Source organism: Homo sapiens, chromosome 22, assembly GCF_000001405.40.
Source record: "Homo sapiens chromosome 22, GRCh38.p14 Primary Assembly".
In the NCBI taxonomy this organism is placed as follows: Eukaryota; Metazoa; Chordata; class Mammalia; order Primates; family Hominidae; genus Homo; species Homo sapiens.
Genome location: NC_000022.11, coordinates 48509613 through 48526293, shown reverse-complemented (window position 1 = coordinate 48526293; position 16681 = coordinate 48509613). Strand labels below are relative to the sequence as shown.

Genomic DNA, 16681 nt, shown 5'->3' with positions numbered 1-16681 from the left:
CAGGGGACCTCCCCAAAGACACAGATGGCATAGTCCCAGCTCAGGACACCACACACAGACGGAGGAGGGCAGCAGGGTAGACAAAGAGAGAATGAGGCCAGACCGGAGTCCCAGCCCTGGACAGCCCCTTCATGCTGGGAGCACCCGGGCAGGGCCATGGGCATGCACCCCTTAGTTTCTCCATTGGTAAGGTGAGGCCACTGGCTCCCCTGGCAGTGACTGAGACCACCCAGGAAAGGATGAGTGCAGAGATCCGTGAAACCTGCCAAGGCTGGTGCCCAGTACACATTCTCCAAATCTGCACTGAGGGCCATTTGGTGCCCTTGTCCAGCCTGACAGCGATCTGGGAGGCAGGGCAGCGGGAGTGGAGACTTCAGGACACCTCGTCCACAGGTGGGGAGAGTAAGGAGGGAATGAGCCACACACATCTCCACGCCTCTGCAGGGGCGACCTCAGGATGCCTCGTCCACAGATGGGGAGAGTAAGGCGAGAATGAGCCGTGCACACCACCGTGCCTCTGCAGGGGCCTGGAGGCAGGGAAGAACAGGAGGGCTCGGGTAGGCAGGGCTTCTTTAGGCGGGGTACCAGGCCAGCAGCAGCAGCAGCTTCTGGGGCCCCGGCCTGACCCCTGAATCAGAAACCATGGGTTCAGTCCAGCGATCTGTTGGTCCACAAGCCCCCAGGGAATTCGGATGCATGCTCAAGCCTGGGGACCGCTGAGGCAGAGGGTGGACCTGGGCCACCGAGTGGGAAGGGCCTCCACCTGGGCAGAGGTTCAGCCGGGAGGGGGAAGGGGCATTTGCGAGAATGAGCACTGGAAGCAGAGTCCAGAAGGCGGAGCAGGTGGCAGGCAAGAATGAGCACTGGAATCGGAGTCCAGCAGGCGGAGCAGGCAGCGGGCACCTGTCGGGGTGAGGGTGGGGTGTGGACCAAGCCCTCAGCGTATCCCAGGGTCCCTGTGTGGAGGTCTCCAGGCTGCTCCCTGACCCTAAGGGCATCGGCCTAAGATGGGACCCCCCATGGGGAGCATCCCCTGGGCCGAGGGATGTCCCCAAAGAAGCTCATCTCCTAATCTCTGGAGCCTGTGAATGGGTCACCGGGTCACCCTACATGGCAAAGGGACGTTTTTAGATGTGATTAAGTCAAGGGTCTTGGGATGGGAGAGGACCCTCGACCCTCCAGGTGGGCTCCAACTCATCACAAGGGTTCTGGTAAGTTGAGGGGAGGCAGGAAGGTCAGAGCCAGGGAGAGAAGATGTGAGAACAAAAGCTGAGGGCAGGGCGGAGAGAAGTTGCGGCTCTACAGGCTCTGAAGATGGAGGAAGAGGCAGGAGAAAGGGCCAGGCACATACACCTGGCTCAACTACCCACAGGAAACCCGCGCCTGGATCAGAGAATGCCCCAGGAGCCTGGGACAGGAAGGAACGCCCTGGGTGCAGAAGGTCCTGCCAGTGTAAGGAAGACTCCACGTTTCCCAGCAGGGACAGGGAGTCACTGCTTCCCCACTCCTGGTGCAGAGTAAACCCCTCGTCTGGCCGCCCACCCCTGCTGGCCCTGGGGAAGCTCGGTGCAGGGTCTCACCCACAAGCTAGGGCAGCAACTCACCCAGGCATCCTTGTCGAGATGGCGTGTGTGCCGGATCCTGCGTGTGAGAACTAACCATGCCCAATGTGGGGGCCCCTAAAAGGGGTGGGCTGTGGACGGAGGCTCCAGCTTCCAGCCATCCCGAGTGTTTTGGGAGGAGGGGAGGGCTGATGCCTCTTCCGCATCTCAGGCTGAGAATGTTCCAGAACTTCCCAGATGCCACCAAGGTCCTGTTTTGACTGCCAAGTGTCCAGCAGGGAGGGCGTCCCTGACCAAGCGCCTAGGCCAAGGCACTGCTGGGCTCCTCAGGGTGGCCTTGGGGAATGCAGGGCAGGGCGTCTCCATCCCTGAGGTCTGCATGGAGCTCACATGAGCCTGCACCTGAAAGAGGAGCTTCCTCTCCACTCCAAACGCCAAAGGCGCAGCCCAGCAGAACCTCCCACCAGCCCCCACACTGTCAAAGCCACGCAGGCTTTTGAGACAGAATCCTGAGGCCCGTGGAGATGGAGGCCCTGAGGTCAGCGTTGGAAGCGGTGGGCTGCCAGCCGCACAAAGGAAAACTGGCCAGACGGGAGGGAGGAGAGAAAATCCCGAAAAAGCAGCCATAATGGACTAAAATAAGGTCAGAGGCAATAAAAAATGGGGGACCGCATCATGCTATCTTCCCACCCTGCTTCCGCCCTCTGACAGGCATCACAGGCCAGCCCGGCCCCGGGGCAGGTTGGGACCACGTGCGGTGGTAGCTGTGGGCACCTCACCTGGGTGTGCAGTGGCAGCTGTGGGCACCTCGCCTGGGCGGCCTGTGGTGCCTTCAAAGGCCAGCGCCAGCCGCCTGAGCCCTGGCACACTTCTCGCCAGCCTCCTCTCTGCAGAGAGGACCCTGCGTCCACACCCAGACTGGCCTTGTGTCTGCCTGGCCTATTTTCAGCTGTTGGGGTCAGGCTTCCCACTAAAGCCTCTTGGTAGTAAGTCTGGGCTGCCCAGGAATAGGGGTTCCTGGGAGCGGCTCCTTCCTGGGCCCCCGGGATGCCTCCTTCATGCAGCCCTGGCCCAAGTTGGGCACAGAGGGGCTGGGGTCAGTCCAGGCGGCTGATCTGGCCCAAGCAGGCCTGAGCCTAGGCCTAGGAGCAGCACCTGGGATGTGGCACCAAGCCCCGTGTGGGTGAAGGCAGAGAGCCGGGGCCCCGGGCCAGCCTTCGGGGCTCCCAGAAGCAGAGGCCCAACGTTTTCCATCCCAAGCCTCCTTCCTGCTCAAGTAGCCAACAGCCAGGAGATAAGTGATTCACCTCCACAGCCCAGCGGAATGCCGCGAGCCGGCCACACAGGAGGGCCCAGGGGAGTTTGCTGACTCAGGGGCTGGTTTCATCCTACCCCGTAGGGTCCCCTGGATGGTGTTTAAGTGGAACTGGCCCTGGTGGAGGCTGCCCGCCGGCCCACCAGCCCTGTCCCACGGCAAAGCCAGGGAGCACAGGAGCCAAGCGCCACGAAGTGCCCACCAAGCCGAGCCCGCCTCCAGCAGAGGCTCCGTGCAGGGCGCAGCAGGGTTTTGTGGCACGAGCGGCAGGGGAGGAGATGGAGGCCCGTGAGCTGGAAGCCTTGACACGGGCACCAGTGGCTCCCTGGCCGCCCCCATCCAGCCTGGCCATCCTCCACCGTGACCCATGGGCTCTGGGTCTCCTGCTGGGAAGGAACCGACACAGCCCCGCCATGGGGGGCTCCAGCTGCCGCAGCCCCTTCCAGCTATTCCTGGCCTCCCATTGGAAGTGTCTTGCCCTGTGCTCAGCAGCCCCACCCTCTAGTCCCCCAGGACAGGGACGTGGTGGACAGCAGACCCACGATATACTGGAGCTGGAGGGCCCTGTAGGGAGGCCTCCCAGCCAGAGTCACCAAGGGACAGGCCAGCCTGGGGGCATGTGGGCTCCTTGGGCCGACTTACAGTTGGCCTTAAACTTCCACCCACAGGCCCAGGTGACCCTCCATGAGTGGCCACAAAACCCCAGGCAGGCCCAGATGATGTCCAGGCAGTCTCTCCCATGGCCTGGGCTGTGAAGGGAATGGCCTTCCTCCCAGGGGCGGATGAGAGGACTCAGGCCCTGTGCCTGGGGAGGGCTTCAGGTTGCCTCTCGAGGTTGGGGGCCTAACCTTGCCTGGCCCCGCGCCCACCCCAGGCAGCCTCAGTTTCCAGAAGCGGAGGACGCGAGTGTAGAGTCACAACCACTGCCCCAGGGAGCCCACCAGCCCCCACCAGCCACTGAGGGAGGGAGACTCTAAGGACAGAGCCAAGCCCTGGGGCCGCCGGTGCCAGTGGATGGGAGGTGGCCGCCTCCGGACCTGGGGGGTCTGCATCCCCCCAGCCTGTGGGCACAGACGGAATTCCGGGAGCCTCACACCTGTTCAGAGCCCCCAAGGCAGCTGCCGCCCTTCCCACCTACAGATACAAGGCCCAGAACTGCCACAGGCTCTGCCACCGAGACCACAGGTAGACGCAGGGGACAGAGGGAGGGGTGGGAGGAGGTTCCAGTCTTGGACAGCAACCGTCAGCCTTGGGCTGCCCATCTCCAGCTTCTACGTGGGAAAAAACAAAAACAAAACAACGTCCTTGCTGTTTAAGCCAATGCTGGTCACGTGTTCCGTTACTTGCAGACAAGTATTCTTGGAATACCTATCCTAAGGAATAAGGCCGCAAGGGAAGTAACCATGCGCTCCCCATCCGGAGGGTGGGCACTGGCTGGCCGGGAGCTCGGCCTCTGTCCTCCTTGTCGTCTAAGCCCCTCCCCGAGTTTGGTCTGAGCAGGAGCTACAGCTCCACCTCCCTCCACACCCTCCACATGAAGCTCATCCTGGCCCCGATGTCAACTCCAAGTTGACAGATGCCAGGTGAACGCAGAGAGCCCTGCTAAGGAACCTCAACAGCACCCACAGATGAGCACGATGCTTTAATGACAAATTCAACGAAGATTGGGGCAGTTCCAGGTGGTGATGGAAACTTCTCGCCGTATTTACCTTTTACACCTAACGGATCGGGTCCATCTGTGGCCACGCATCCTCCGTCTCCCGTGCGGCTGGCTGGGATGGCTCCCCGAAACTCACATTTGTAATAAACACCATTCATCGCAGGCACGACACCCATCCTGGAAACAGCACTTTAGAATTTTTTTGTTTTTATCACCAGCTTAATGATGACTAATGCCTGGGTGATTATCTTGTGCTTTTTTTATGTGGCACCGAGAACAAACAATATCATTAGCAATGCAGAAAGGAGAGAAAATGGGAGCACGAGGTGGAAGCAAAGGCGAGCAAAAGTCAGACAGGAAGCAAAGCTGGCTGCCTGGCAAGAGAATGTCTGCAAACTGAACGCCAGGGGTCCCTGGGCCGTGATCTGGAACCTTCCACTCCTCACTGTTTGATGTTGCAAAATACAACAAACCCAAATCGGGAAGAGGGGTTCCTGGAATGCACTGACTTTATTTTTTAAAAGTGCCCAGATGAGCCTGTAAAAGCAATGTCCTGCTGGGTAAATGAAGCCAGAGGAGCGATGATAGGGCAATAACTGATGAAATGGGCCAGAGGAAGCCCATTCACAGCCCTCCTCACATGCCCTGGATCCTGCACGGTTACGGCCGTGGTGGGAAGAATTCAACAGGCAATTAATTTCCAAAGCAAATTCCAGCCTCCCACGCACACATCCCCTACAAAGAGACATCTTTTGAACACAGGCAGAACTCAGCCACCTGGGCTTTTCCAGGGGTTGGCTGCTTACGGTGGGGACAGGTCCTCACCTGCCTGGATCACAACCTGTCATCCCACCCTGCGACCCCCCCTGGCCCTGGCCCTGGCCTGAGGGATGTGCTGAAGCCCAGGGTCTGAAAGACAGTGGGCTTTTCCCGACCTTCCAGATCCCCTTGTTTAGGGGCCCCTAAACCAGATGAGAGGACATGGAAGCAGTTTCTGGCAACATCAGGGAAGGCTGCCCATTCCCCTGGTCTGAGAGCTCCATGCCCCCTCTTCCTGCCCATTAAGCCAAGTCAGGCCACCCCCGGCTCTGCCCCAAAGCCCCTCCACACCTGGTCTCTCTCCAAATCCCTCACATCCGTCTAGGACCACCACCAAATTAATCTCAAGTCCCCGATGGCAGGCATTCTGACTCTCCATCCCCAACAAAGGCACTGCTGGGTGCAGGGGCCACTCCAGAAACACTTCATCCAATAGGGTGTCCCACCTGCAGAATCAGATGGCAGTTGGCCACTTCACCAGCGAGAAGGGTAAGTGGTGGGTGTTGGAACAGCCTTGGGCCCCAGGCCTTCGGGGTGAGCCCGTGCACGGTGGAATGGACAGAAGGATGGAAGCAGCCAACACATGCCCAGTGTCACCTGGGCCGGGGTCAGTACTGGGACCCTCACACCCCGAGGGTGGCGTGTTAGTGGCCTGTGTCGGCATAACAAAATCCCACAAACCCGGCATCTCACACAGTGGAATTATCTTCACACAGTTCTGGGCCAGAAGTCCACAAAGTGTTGGCAGGGCCAGTTCCTTCTGGGAGCTCCAGGGGAAACATGTGGCCTCCAGCTTCCAGCGTGGCTGGCCACCCAGCGGCTCCTCGGCTAGCAGGCCCGTCACCCCCATCTCCACCTCCGTTTCCACAGGGCGTCTTCCTCTGGGTGGTCTCAGGGTCTCTCTGCATCTTCTAAGGACACCGGGCACTGGATTTAGGGCCTATCCAACTCTCGTGTGACCACATCTTAACTAATTCCATCTGCAACAAACAATTTCCAAGTAAAGTCACATTCTGAGGTTCCAGGGGACATGAATGTTGAGGGGACACTTTCCCACTCTGCACAGTGGCCCTGCCATTACCCTGTTTCCATGGCACAGAGAGGTTAGGTGACTGGTCCAAGGTGCAGCCATGACTGGGATGGGCAAGAGGTACGGGACCTGCTCGGCTCACCTCCCTCCTGCAGAGAGACTCCCAAGGGCTCAGCTGCTCAGAACACTCTAGTTGCCCGTGAGGAGCCCAGGGCTCCAAGAAGAACGCGATTTGCCCGCCACCGCCCCCAGTTTCAGCTGAGCTGCTTCTGGTCCCACTCCAGGCCTCCCGCCTGTCCCCGCCTCCCACCACCCATCCCTCTCTCGTGGCCCAGCAGCCACAGGGGACCCACACCCCGAGTCTGCATTCAAGGAGGGCATCCCCCCCTTCACATAAAAGGACACGTGTGCTGCCTGGGATGGCAGAGAAGACCCAGGGTCAGTGGCAGCGAGATGCATGAGGGGCCGCCCTGGAGACCACAGCCTGTTTCATGGACGCTCCGATTCTGAGTCTGAGAAGCGTGGCCCCTGCGACTACGCGATTGCGCGATAAACAGATTAGGGCATTAGGCTCCAGAGTTATTAAAAGTGAAAGGTCCTCAAAGGGAAGACGCGGGATTCTTGGAGCCTCTATCTCCTACAAATATGTAATGAAATTTAAATTGAATCTGGTTTAAAATCATTTACCTTTTGACATCATGTATCAGTACACTAAGCATCGGCTGAGAAAGCAAATAACCTTTCAAGCAGAATGAAAAATTACTCTGTCTCTTTTGATTCCATGTTAATTTTCAAATTTAAACTACCCTATAGCTCTCGGCCTGGGGTCAGCCACTGAAGGCTGTTGATTGTGCTAGGTCAAAGCCGGTGGGTGGAGACCCCAGGCGTCCTCCCTGCTGCACTGCAGACGTGAGCCCTCCCTCCAGGGTGTCCGACAGCTCTTGACGGACAGGTGAGCTGGGGGACCGCCGGCCGCCTGGTCACCCCAGGAAGAAAGGGGGAAGGGGCAGCCCTTGCCTCTGTCCCTCCTCCAGGTGAGTGAAAAGTACCGTTCTCCTTTTCCACATGGGTGTAAAGTGTCTTCAGGAAAAGAGGTGACACCGCTTGCCTGTCCCAGCGTGACCCTGGGCACAGCACTCCGGAAAGCTGGGCTGGAGTCTCACTGGGCGTGACCGTGACCTTAGGGGACCTGTTTCCTCTGCAGGCCCCCTGTTCTCGTCAGGGGTCTCTCAGGGCTCCCCTCGGTCAGCCCTCCCTGCTGAGCACCCCTGCTCTGAGAGAGTCCGCCTCCCAGGCTGGAGGGTAAGACCCGCTCAGTGACAATAATGCCGTGAGAACTGTGGGTTCTTTCCGAGCCTTTGCCTCAGAATCTGGGGTTCTGGAAAAGAGACAAGAGCCCTCGTTTTCCTGAGGGCATGGGCAGCTATGCGGAGGAGACACAGACGGACATCCCAGGTGGGACAGGGGGAGGTGGACTCAGGACACCCTCTCAGATGTCCCTCTGCCTTGGTTTGGGGAGGACGGGCACCTCTTTGTCCAGGCCTGGAAGGACTTCTAGCTCTCTGAATGTGGATTCTGGGGGGCAGAGCGCCTTATTCTCCCCATTTCACAGAGGGGAGGGCTGAGCCTCAGGGAGGCCCCACAGAACAGGAGGGAGAATCAGGTCTGAAACCCCAGGTCCAGACACCCAGATCCCACGTGGGCTCCTGCGGGTACCATCTCAGCTCCTGGGACCCGAGGGTGGAGAAAGCCTCCCAGACCTACCGGGTGGCCTGACAATGTGAGAGGAGCCCCCGGAAAGCAGCAGGGCTGCCTGGTGGGCCTGGGGGATTCTTCCTTGAAGTCCACTGCTAGGCCTGCCCATCCAGCCGCCTGTGACCACGGCCAGCGTTCAGAGAGGACGTGGGGCCTGGGCCCCCGGAGCCTGCTGCTATTTCTTAATTAGGGAGGAGACACAAAGGGGCTTTTCACGAGGCTGCCCCCGCACCGTCACATGTGAGCGCCACTGGGCTGGAAAACAGAGGGGGCTTTGCCAGAACCTCACCCCCACCCGGCCGTGCCTGCCCAGAGAGGGCGGGGGAGGAGCAACCAACAGAGGGGGCAGGGGAGAGGGAGGAGACGGCACGGCAGAGGTGGCCCCGGGAAGCAGGCAGGCCAGCCTCACCGCGGCTGCTGGATGTGGGGATCTCGGTGCCCCAGCCTAGGCCCAGGTCTGTGCGTGCCCCATGCAAGGGGCTGACTGTCACCAGGACGCAATTCAAGGCCTCTGGTGGCCCAGGGCCCGGCGGGCTATCAGAACCCGGATGCCCGTACGCGGGACAGAGCAGCCCAGGATCCTCAGTGGAGAGTAGCATGGGCTCCACAGCCCGGGGCCAGGTCACAGCTTGCTCCTGGCATACCCTACAGGAGCCTGGGCTCACACCAGCCAGCCCTCAGGCAGCTGAGGAAGGATAGCAGAGGCAGGGCATGGGCGTGTCCCAGGAGGAGGTGGTGGGGGTCAGGGCTGCTTCCCATCTTGCATCTGCCAGCCGTCCCAGTGGCCAGGACCCTCTGAAGTCAGGGACCCAGGACCTGGGACCTGGGGAGAATGGGGCATGCTGAGCAACTGCTGGTGCTGGCTGGGCCTGGAGTCTGTGCCAGCTGGGCCCTGTAGCAGTTGCTTTGGCTTCCCTGCTGGGGGCAGGAGAGAGAGGACCTCAGGTGGACGTCCGAGTGCCCAGTCTGGAAAGGCCTCTGCAGCCTTTGCTTCTGAAGGTCTGGGAGAGCAGGAGCTTCCGGGGCTGGGAGAATGGCTGCAGAGGGAGGGATTGCTTCATAGGCACGGGGCTTTTTGTGGGGTGACGGAAACGAGAACTCGGCTACTGTGGGGTTGTACAGCATGGTGGCTGCACTAGATGCCAGCAGAATGCAATCTTCAACAGGGTTGATTTTGTTATGTGAATTTTAACTATGCGAAAAATAAATACATAAGATGTTTGAAAGTCTGTAAGGGCAGCCAGACCCCTCTGAGAGCAGGACCTGGATGGGGTCGTGCACATCCCCACAGCCCCTCCCCATCAAGCACTGCCTGGCACAACTGTGAGGGCCACATGCAGTGTCCCGGAGGTGGGTCAGCACTGGCCTGGCTGGGGGCTGCGGCCACCAACCTCCTGGAAGGCACTTGCCTTCGTGGCGGTGGCTTCTCCTCCATCTAAATTTGGGGGATTTCATGAAGGGCCACCCCTGTCCTGAGCCACATGACCCGAGCCCAGACACAATGGGACATGAAGCAGAGGCCAGTAGAGACGTCCTGTGCAGACTGGCTTCACCCTGCAACGTTCAGAGCTGCACTCACCTTGCCGTGGGTATGGCCTTCTCCAAGGCGTTCCCAGGCTGCAACAGGGAAAAGGCCCACCAGCTCCTGCCGAGAGTTGGGGGCGGGCCCCCATTTCGTTCAGCAGCGAATGTCACAGACGATGGTGATGATGTCTGCACTGAATATTCCACTCACTTAAATTACACCAAAACCACGCGGCCCCGAGGTCTCGGTGACAGGGGAATGGGAATCGCAGGAATTAAATGGCACAAAGGGGGTGGATTGTGCTGAGATCACCAGGAAGAGTATTAAGAAAAGCCGTTAATATGTAGTTAAAAAATTCCCAATCTCCACAAGCATATGCCGTTCCACCTAATTCTGATCAACTTAAACGTAAAAATGTCTCGGCGCCTCCACGTGGGTTTCGCCGCCATCTGGTTTAATTAGTCTTTGGGTAGCGCGTCATAAAGTTAATGGCAAGTGCGTTGCCGGGCCAATCAGAAAGCTGTGCTGAGGCCTTATTTCACCAAGTCTGTTTCTCCTCAACCTGCCATTGGGTGAGGTCAAGGCCGGCGGGTGCTGAGCGGCGGTGAAGGCGGCGCACAGGGAGTGAGGCTGGGGTGGGGAGGGTGGCTGCCCGGGTTGCCTTTCCCTGGGTAGGGTGGGGGTCTCTGAGTTCAGCCCACCTGGAGGAACGACACCTGCCCACCGAGACTGATGGAGACCCCTGGGGGAGCCAGCAGTGGGCCTGGAGAGGAGGAGCCCACAGAGACCCCCATCCCCTGGCCAATGCCAGTTCCTGTTCTGAGGTGTGGCTTCAGCGGCCTTGCCCACTGTCCCCAAGTCCCCGCACTGTCCCTTCCTCTGGGGCGGTGCCCTCCACACTCCCCGTCCCGCCTGGAGCCGGGGGCCTCCCGCTTGCATTGGGCATTGGATGCAGCAGGGCCGGGTGCAATGAGGCCTCAGGGGTGCCCTTGGAATTGGGCAACTAGAAGGTCAGGGGTCACTGTGAAAAGAGAGGTCCCTGAGGAAAGGAGCATCAAGGGAGAGCAGACGAGCAGATGGGAAGGCAGGAGAGGAACTGGAGAAGGGGAAAGGAGGCCAGGGTGGATGGAGGAGTTGAGGTCCCTGTGGTCTGAGGTCAAGGCACTGAAGGAGAGGGGTGCCGTGAAGGTGACCCAGGAGAAGGGTCCCCTGCAGGGGTCAGGGGTCAGGCAGGACAGCGGACAGACAGCTGCGATCAGGTGATCCGCCTGCCTGCAGAAGCCCACTGCTGAGAGGACGCTGCCTGCGCAAGCCCTGGGCTCCAGCATTTGCCAGCTCTGCACCTGCTTATCTGAGTCTCTGCTCCTTTCCAGGGAATAATTCCTAACTGAGGTTCTTCACCCACTGCTGAGAGGACGCTGCCTGTGCAAGCCTGGGCTCCTGCATTCGCCAGCTCTGCACCTGCTTATCTGAGTCTCTGCTCCTTTCCATGGAACGATTCCTAAATGAGGTTCTTCACCCACTGCTGAGAGGACGCTGCCTGCGCAAGCCTGGGCTCCTGCATTCGCCAGCTCTGCACCTGCTTATCTGAGTCTCTGCTCCTTTCCATGGAACGATTCCTAAATGAGGTTCAGCCACTTGCTGGCTGGGAGGCCCGTGCCATGTCCAACTTTGGACCTCTGTGTTTTCACCCCCAAAATGGAGATGGCAGTGCTTACCCTGTATGGTTTGGAGATCAGAGATGATTTGTGGAAACGCCACCCACCCTGGTGTCAGCCCAGAGCAACAGCCCCATTAGTACCACGTCAACATTCCCAGATGCTGCCAGACATGAATAGAAAAGGAAGGTCACATGACCAGTGGATTTTCCCTTTTTGCCTTCTCTGCCAGGAAGCTCAGAGCTATGTTTTGTGCTCAATTTTCAGAGTTCCCTGTAGTCTAGGACGGTGGGTCTCCACCGGGACAAGTCACCTGGCTGGCATGAGTGGGGGACTGACCCCCAGGCTCTCCATGCTGCCCGGCTTATAAGCTCCCTGGGCAGGGTCTGCAGGGCGGTTCTCGGTTTCCTCAGGACACTAAAGACCATGTCCTCAGAGATGTGGCCCAAGTTCTGGAGGGCCAGGAGCCGCGGCCACCTCAATTAACCCCATGTTGGCTGTCAGACAGAGAGAGCTGAGACTCAAAAGTCATGGCGAAGTTATTCCCTGGCTACCAAAATTAAATCTATGAAGAAGGAACAGGTTTTCAATGAATTTATTAATCAATTTGACAACGCCTGGGGATTGTAATATAAAAATAATCGGTTGGCCTTCTCACCAACGTGAGATGCCAAGAAGGTGTCATTTAATTTTCCAATGCCTACCACCACCTCCCAAAACTTATTTTACATTAATTGAGATGGAAATTTTCTCATCTAGAATTTCTGAGAAGCATGCATTCATTTCATCCCGAGCCCACTCATATATGCAGCGGCAACTCCGCGGCCGGGCCTGGGGTGCAGCCAAGGGCCCTGACACTAGCCTTGACCTCCTTCCAGGCACTGAGCTTCTTTCTCACAGCCTCGAAGTGCTTGGCCCCAAGACGGGGAGTCTACACCCCCGAGAGACCTGCAGAGGCTGAGATCTCAGAGGGAAGTGACAGGAAAGGGAAGGGCAGGAGGAAGGGTCTTCTGAGGACTGGATCATCCCCCTTTCCTCCTGCCCTGCTGGGTAGCTGAGAGCCCTCATCCAAGCTGAGAACACCAGGCCAAGCCCTCTTCTTGGCCCCCACAGCGCCCAGACAGGGCTGCCAACTTCAGCCCTGGGGACCAGCACTGTGGGAGTGGGCAGACAGATGAGGTGGTCTCTGTGAGTCACCGAGGAGACCAAAGTGGCCCTCACTGGGACTGCCCCCATGGAGCAGAGCAAGGCACGGCACCTCCTCCTCCTGCAGACTGCCCAAGGCCAGGGCCCTGTCAGAACCACAGGGCAGACGCGGGCTCTGGGGCCGCACAGGCCTGCCCAGGTGCTCAGCTTCTCTTAGCCATGTCTCGCTCAGAGCACTGGGCTGACTTCAGCCTTGGGAAGCCTCCGGGTCCTGGAGCTTGAAATGGGTCTGGTCACACTGCAGTTAGAAGCCGGCATGGGGTGGCACCCAGGAATCGCCAGTCTGTCCTTCTATTGGGGGGGCTCTTAGAGCCGCCCATGACAGAAGGCCTCTGAGTGACAGGAAGGAGCTGCACTCAACTCTGCACATGCGATGAGCCCTCCCTTCATGTGGACCTGAGGGTCTTGGAAACTGAGGCTTGAAGCAAAACGGCCTGTAACAAAACGCTTCGATGTTACAAGAAAACACAGTCGAAGGAAGCAATGTTACTCCAGGACCTGCTGTCTGTCATTTTCCTGAAATTTGCAGTTTCCAGCTCTTATCACCAATGCGGAGTGAGGACTTCCTGTAGACGGTGTAGGGTGGGTTGACAACTTTAGGGTTACCGAGGGTCCCAAACCCTTTCCTTCCTCCAGGAAACCCTCTGCACATAAACAGGCCTGTGCCTGGGAAGAAACGCACCCCAGAGTGGCTGTGTCAGAGTGATCACACGTGTACAGCACACTCCCCCCACCACAAACCAGTCTAGGTTTGGTACCATCCTTATTTCAAATGTTGTTACTTTCCTCTTCTTTTCAGTTAGTCTCTCTCTCTCTCTCTTTTTTTTTTTTTTTTTTTTTTGAGACAGAGTCTCGCTCTGTCGCCCAGGCTGGACTGCAGTGGCACAATCTCGGCTCACTGCAAGCTCCTCCTCCCAGGTTCACACCATTCTCCTGCCTCAGCCTCCCAAGTAGCTGGGACTAAAGGCGCTCGCCACCACCCCCGGGTAATTTTTTTTTGTATTTTTAGTAGAGACGTGGCTTCACTGTGTTAGCCAGGATGGTCTCGATCTCCTGACCTCGTGATCCACCCGCCTCGGCCTCCCAAAGTGCTAGGATTACAGGCATGAGCCACCGCGCCCGGCCGTCTCTCTCTTTTGAGACAAAGTCTCGCTCTATCACCCAGGCTGGAGTGCAGTGGTGTGATCTCAGCCAGTGGTGTGATCTCAGCTCACTGCAACCTCTGTCTCCCAGGTTCAAGCCACTCTCTTGCCTCAGCCTCCCGAGTAGCTGGGATGACAGGTGCCCACCACTGCACCCGGCTAATTTTTTGTATTTTTAGTAGAGACAGGGTTTCACCATGTTGGCCAGGCTGGTCTCGAACTCCTGACCTCAAGCGATCTGCCCACCGTCGCCTCCCAAAGTGCTGGGATTACAGGCGTGAGCCACTGCTCCCGGCCAGTTATTCTCTTTAAAATTCCACCTCTCCTTGAGCGGAGCAGAAGATGATCCTTTCCTTTCTGCACTGTGGCCGCGCAGCGAGAGGCAGCGAAGGGGCCAGCCCCACTGTCAGCAGGGCATCTCCTCCACCTCCTCCCACCAGGCAGCCTGCAGGGGCTCAGTCCCCTTGCAGCCTGGTCCACCACAGGGGCTCAGTCACCTTGCAGCCTGGTCTACCAGACCAGGCACACACGGAATCGGGTGGCGAGGGCCCCTTGACACTTTCCCCAAATCCCCGCCTGAACCGTGGCCATCAGCTTCTGGTGGCCCTCCCTGCAGCTCTGTGCCATGGGGCTCCAACCTTGGCCACCGGCCTCAGCCTAGCAATGGTGAGGAGTGAGTGAGCGCACCGTTCCCCACAGCAAGCCCCGTTCCGCATCTGTAGCCCTTTCCGGGAGCCCGCCTGACTGCTCAAGACCAGACATCAGCCTCGGCTTCGGGGGACGCACCAGGCACAAGCGGGCAGTTGCCCCGTGGCTCTCCCAGTGCGGGAAGAAACTGTCAGCACCGTCTTGTAAGGTTCCACAGGTGATGCTTCATTTCCGATACCTGGAGAGATGGGCCTGCGTCAGGGCCTGTGTGTGCCGGGCCGGGTGACAACCTTGAGAATGGAGAATGCCTTTCTAGGAGCTCAGGGGTTGGGCCTTGCAGAACGAATGCGGCTTTGCACAGCAGACGCCTCTGTCTGTTGGAGAAAACACAGAGTTTTGTCTTGACCTGGGCGAGGGCCTCTTGTGCAATGGAAACTGAGAAATGGCTTTCTGCAGACCTGCAGTGTGGCGCTGACTGAAGGACATTTTCCAACAACAGGAATGTGCTCCTGTCCTTATAAGCAGCCTCCCCTCCCCCTGGGAGCCACATCACGCTTCTCCCTGCAGACGCACAGCCCCAGGAGACAGTGAGGAGGAGGAGGAGGAGGAGGAAGCTCTGGGAAGCGTCAGCCACCTGACCCAGTTTGCCAAGGAGCAGGAGACAAAAGAGGCCAGCCCGAGAAGGTGGCTTTTCCTGTGGGATTCCAGACTGGTTGGACTTCTCTGCTGGCAGGTGGTGACCAGGGCCTGGGCTTCTCTCTCCTGTCCACACATGAAGAAGAAGCGACAGGGGAGTCATTGGGGTCTGGGATCCCCAGCGGCCTCCTCCAGGGCTGTCCCTGCTTCCTGAGTCTCCCCACTTCCCAGCAGAGACCAGTTCTGGGTCATGCAATGTCCTGGTTGACCCTAAAACTGCTTGGAGTCACCAGGTGAGCATGTCCCCATAACAGATGACAGCAATATCCATGTGGGCCAGGCACATGGGGTGCCCAGCCCCTCCCTCCCTCATGTCAAGGAAGGGGTGAGAAATCTTCCAAAGATGGACTTTTGCAAACAACTAAAACCCATTTCTTTAAGTCCTCAAGTGCTTTTGAGTGTGGGAAGGAAGTCTATCAAATGCCTGCAATGCGCATGGCTGCCTGCCTGGGCAAGGTCAGGAAACAGCAGGAACGCAGGCCTCAGAGTCCATACACATCCAAATCCACCTCTTCCTTGATGTTGTTCCTGAAGCCAGGGAGCTCAGAGCACAGGGAGCATGGGGGAGGGAAGCCAGGGGAGCATCCTGGAGGAGGAGGAGGCCTTCAAGCCAAATTTCTCAGGGGCTGCTCTCTGCTCAATGACACAGCCAGGTTCCCCCACCCCAGAATACAGCATTGCCCTACAAGCAGTTCAGTGGACATCCATCCTGTTCTTTTCTCTCAAATCTGAAGTTTATTATTACAGAATGAAGGTTTGCACTCACATTTCCTTCTCGCAGCTATAATCACTAATAGCCAGTCTGTTTTCCAAAACAATGAACACCGAACATCAACCAAAGAGCCATGGTGAACATCTGGATGTCTTCTTTTGAGAAATATCTATTCATATCTTTTGTCTACTTTTAATGAGATTATTTGGGGGTTTTTTTGCTGTTGAGTTGAGTTCCTTGTATGAATATATTCTGGATATTAGTCCCTTGGAGGAAGAACCCGCAAATATTCTCGCCCATTCCACAGGTGTCTTCTTCACCTTGCTGACTGTTCCCTTTGCTGTGCAGAAGCTTTTGAGTTTGGTGTAATCCCAATTGTCTGTTATTGCTTTTGTTGACTGTGCTTTTGAAGAGTCTTCCCCATAAAACCTTTGTGCAGACCAATGTCCCGAAGCATTTCAGGTACGTTTTCTTCTAGCAGTTTCATAGTTTCGGGTATTCCATTTATGTCTTTAATCCATTCTGAGTGGTTTCTTTATAATGTGAGAGACAGGGCTCTAGTTTCAGTCTTTCTTTTTTTCTTTTTTCTTTTTCTTTTTCTTTTTTTTTTTTTTTGAGACAGATTCTCACTCTGTCACCCAGGCTGGAGTGCAGTGGCGTGATCTCAGCTCACTGCAAGCTCCGCCTCCCGGGTTCACGCCATTCTCCTGCCTCAGCCTCCCAAGTAGCTGGGACTACAGGCGCCCGCCACTGTGCCCGGCTAATTTTTTGTACTTTTAGTAGAGACGGGGTTTCACCATGTTAGCCAGGATGGTCTCGATCTTCTGACCTCGTGATCCGCCCGCCTCAGCCTCCCAAAGTGCTGGGATTACAGGCGTGAGCCATTGCGCTGGGCCTCTAGTTTCATTCTTTTGCATGTGGACGTCCAGTTTTCTGGCATCATTTGTTGAAGA

General features: G+C 57.6%; 1 protein-coding gene across 1 annotated transcript in view, besides 4 other annotated features; it reads right to left on the bottom strand.

Moving 5' to 3' along the window:
• Positions 1-16681, bottom strand: part of TAFA5 (TAFA chemokine like family member 5) — a 262380-nt gene that overhangs the window by 225639 nt on the left and 20060 nt on the right. The window lies entirely within an intron of this gene.
• Positions 3080-3583: an enhancer, noted in NCBI's record as "H3K27ac-H3K4me1 hESC enhancer chr22:48918523-48919026 (GRCh37/hg19 assembly coordinates)". NCBI's record gives its function as "activates a minimal SCP1, AML or CMV promoter by ChIP-STARR-seq in naive H9 embryonic stem cells {active_cell/tissue: H9 hESC(naive)}" and the evidence as "EXISTENCE:reporter gene assay evidence [ECO:0000049][PMID:30033119]".
• Positions 10224-10964: an enhancer, noted in NCBI's record as "H3K4me1 hESC enhancer chr22:48911142-48911882 (GRCh37/hg19 assembly coordinates)". NCBI's record gives its function as "activates a minimal SCP1, AML or CMV promoter by ChIP-STARR-seq in naive H9 embryonic stem cells {active_cell/tissue: H9 hESC(naive)}" and the evidence as "EXISTENCE:reporter gene assay evidence [ECO:0000049][PMID:30033119]".
• Positions 13781-14720: an enhancer, noted in NCBI's record as "H3K27ac-H3K4me1 hESC enhancer chr22:48907386-48908325 (GRCh37/hg19 assembly coordinates)". NCBI's record gives its function as "activates a minimal SCP1, AML or CMV promoter by ChIP-STARR-seq in primed H9 embryonic stem cells {active_cell/tissue: H9 hESC(primed)}" and the evidence as "EXISTENCE:reporter gene assay evidence [ECO:0000049][PMID:30033119]".
• Positions 14721-15661: an enhancer, noted in NCBI's record as "H3K27ac-H3K4me1 hESC enhancer chr22:48906445-48907385 (GRCh37/hg19 assembly coordinates)". NCBI's record gives its function as "activates a minimal SCP1, AML or CMV promoter by ChIP-STARR-seq in primed H9 embryonic stem cells {active_cell/tissue: H9 hESC(primed)}" and the evidence as "EXISTENCE:reporter gene assay evidence [ECO:0000049][PMID:30033119]".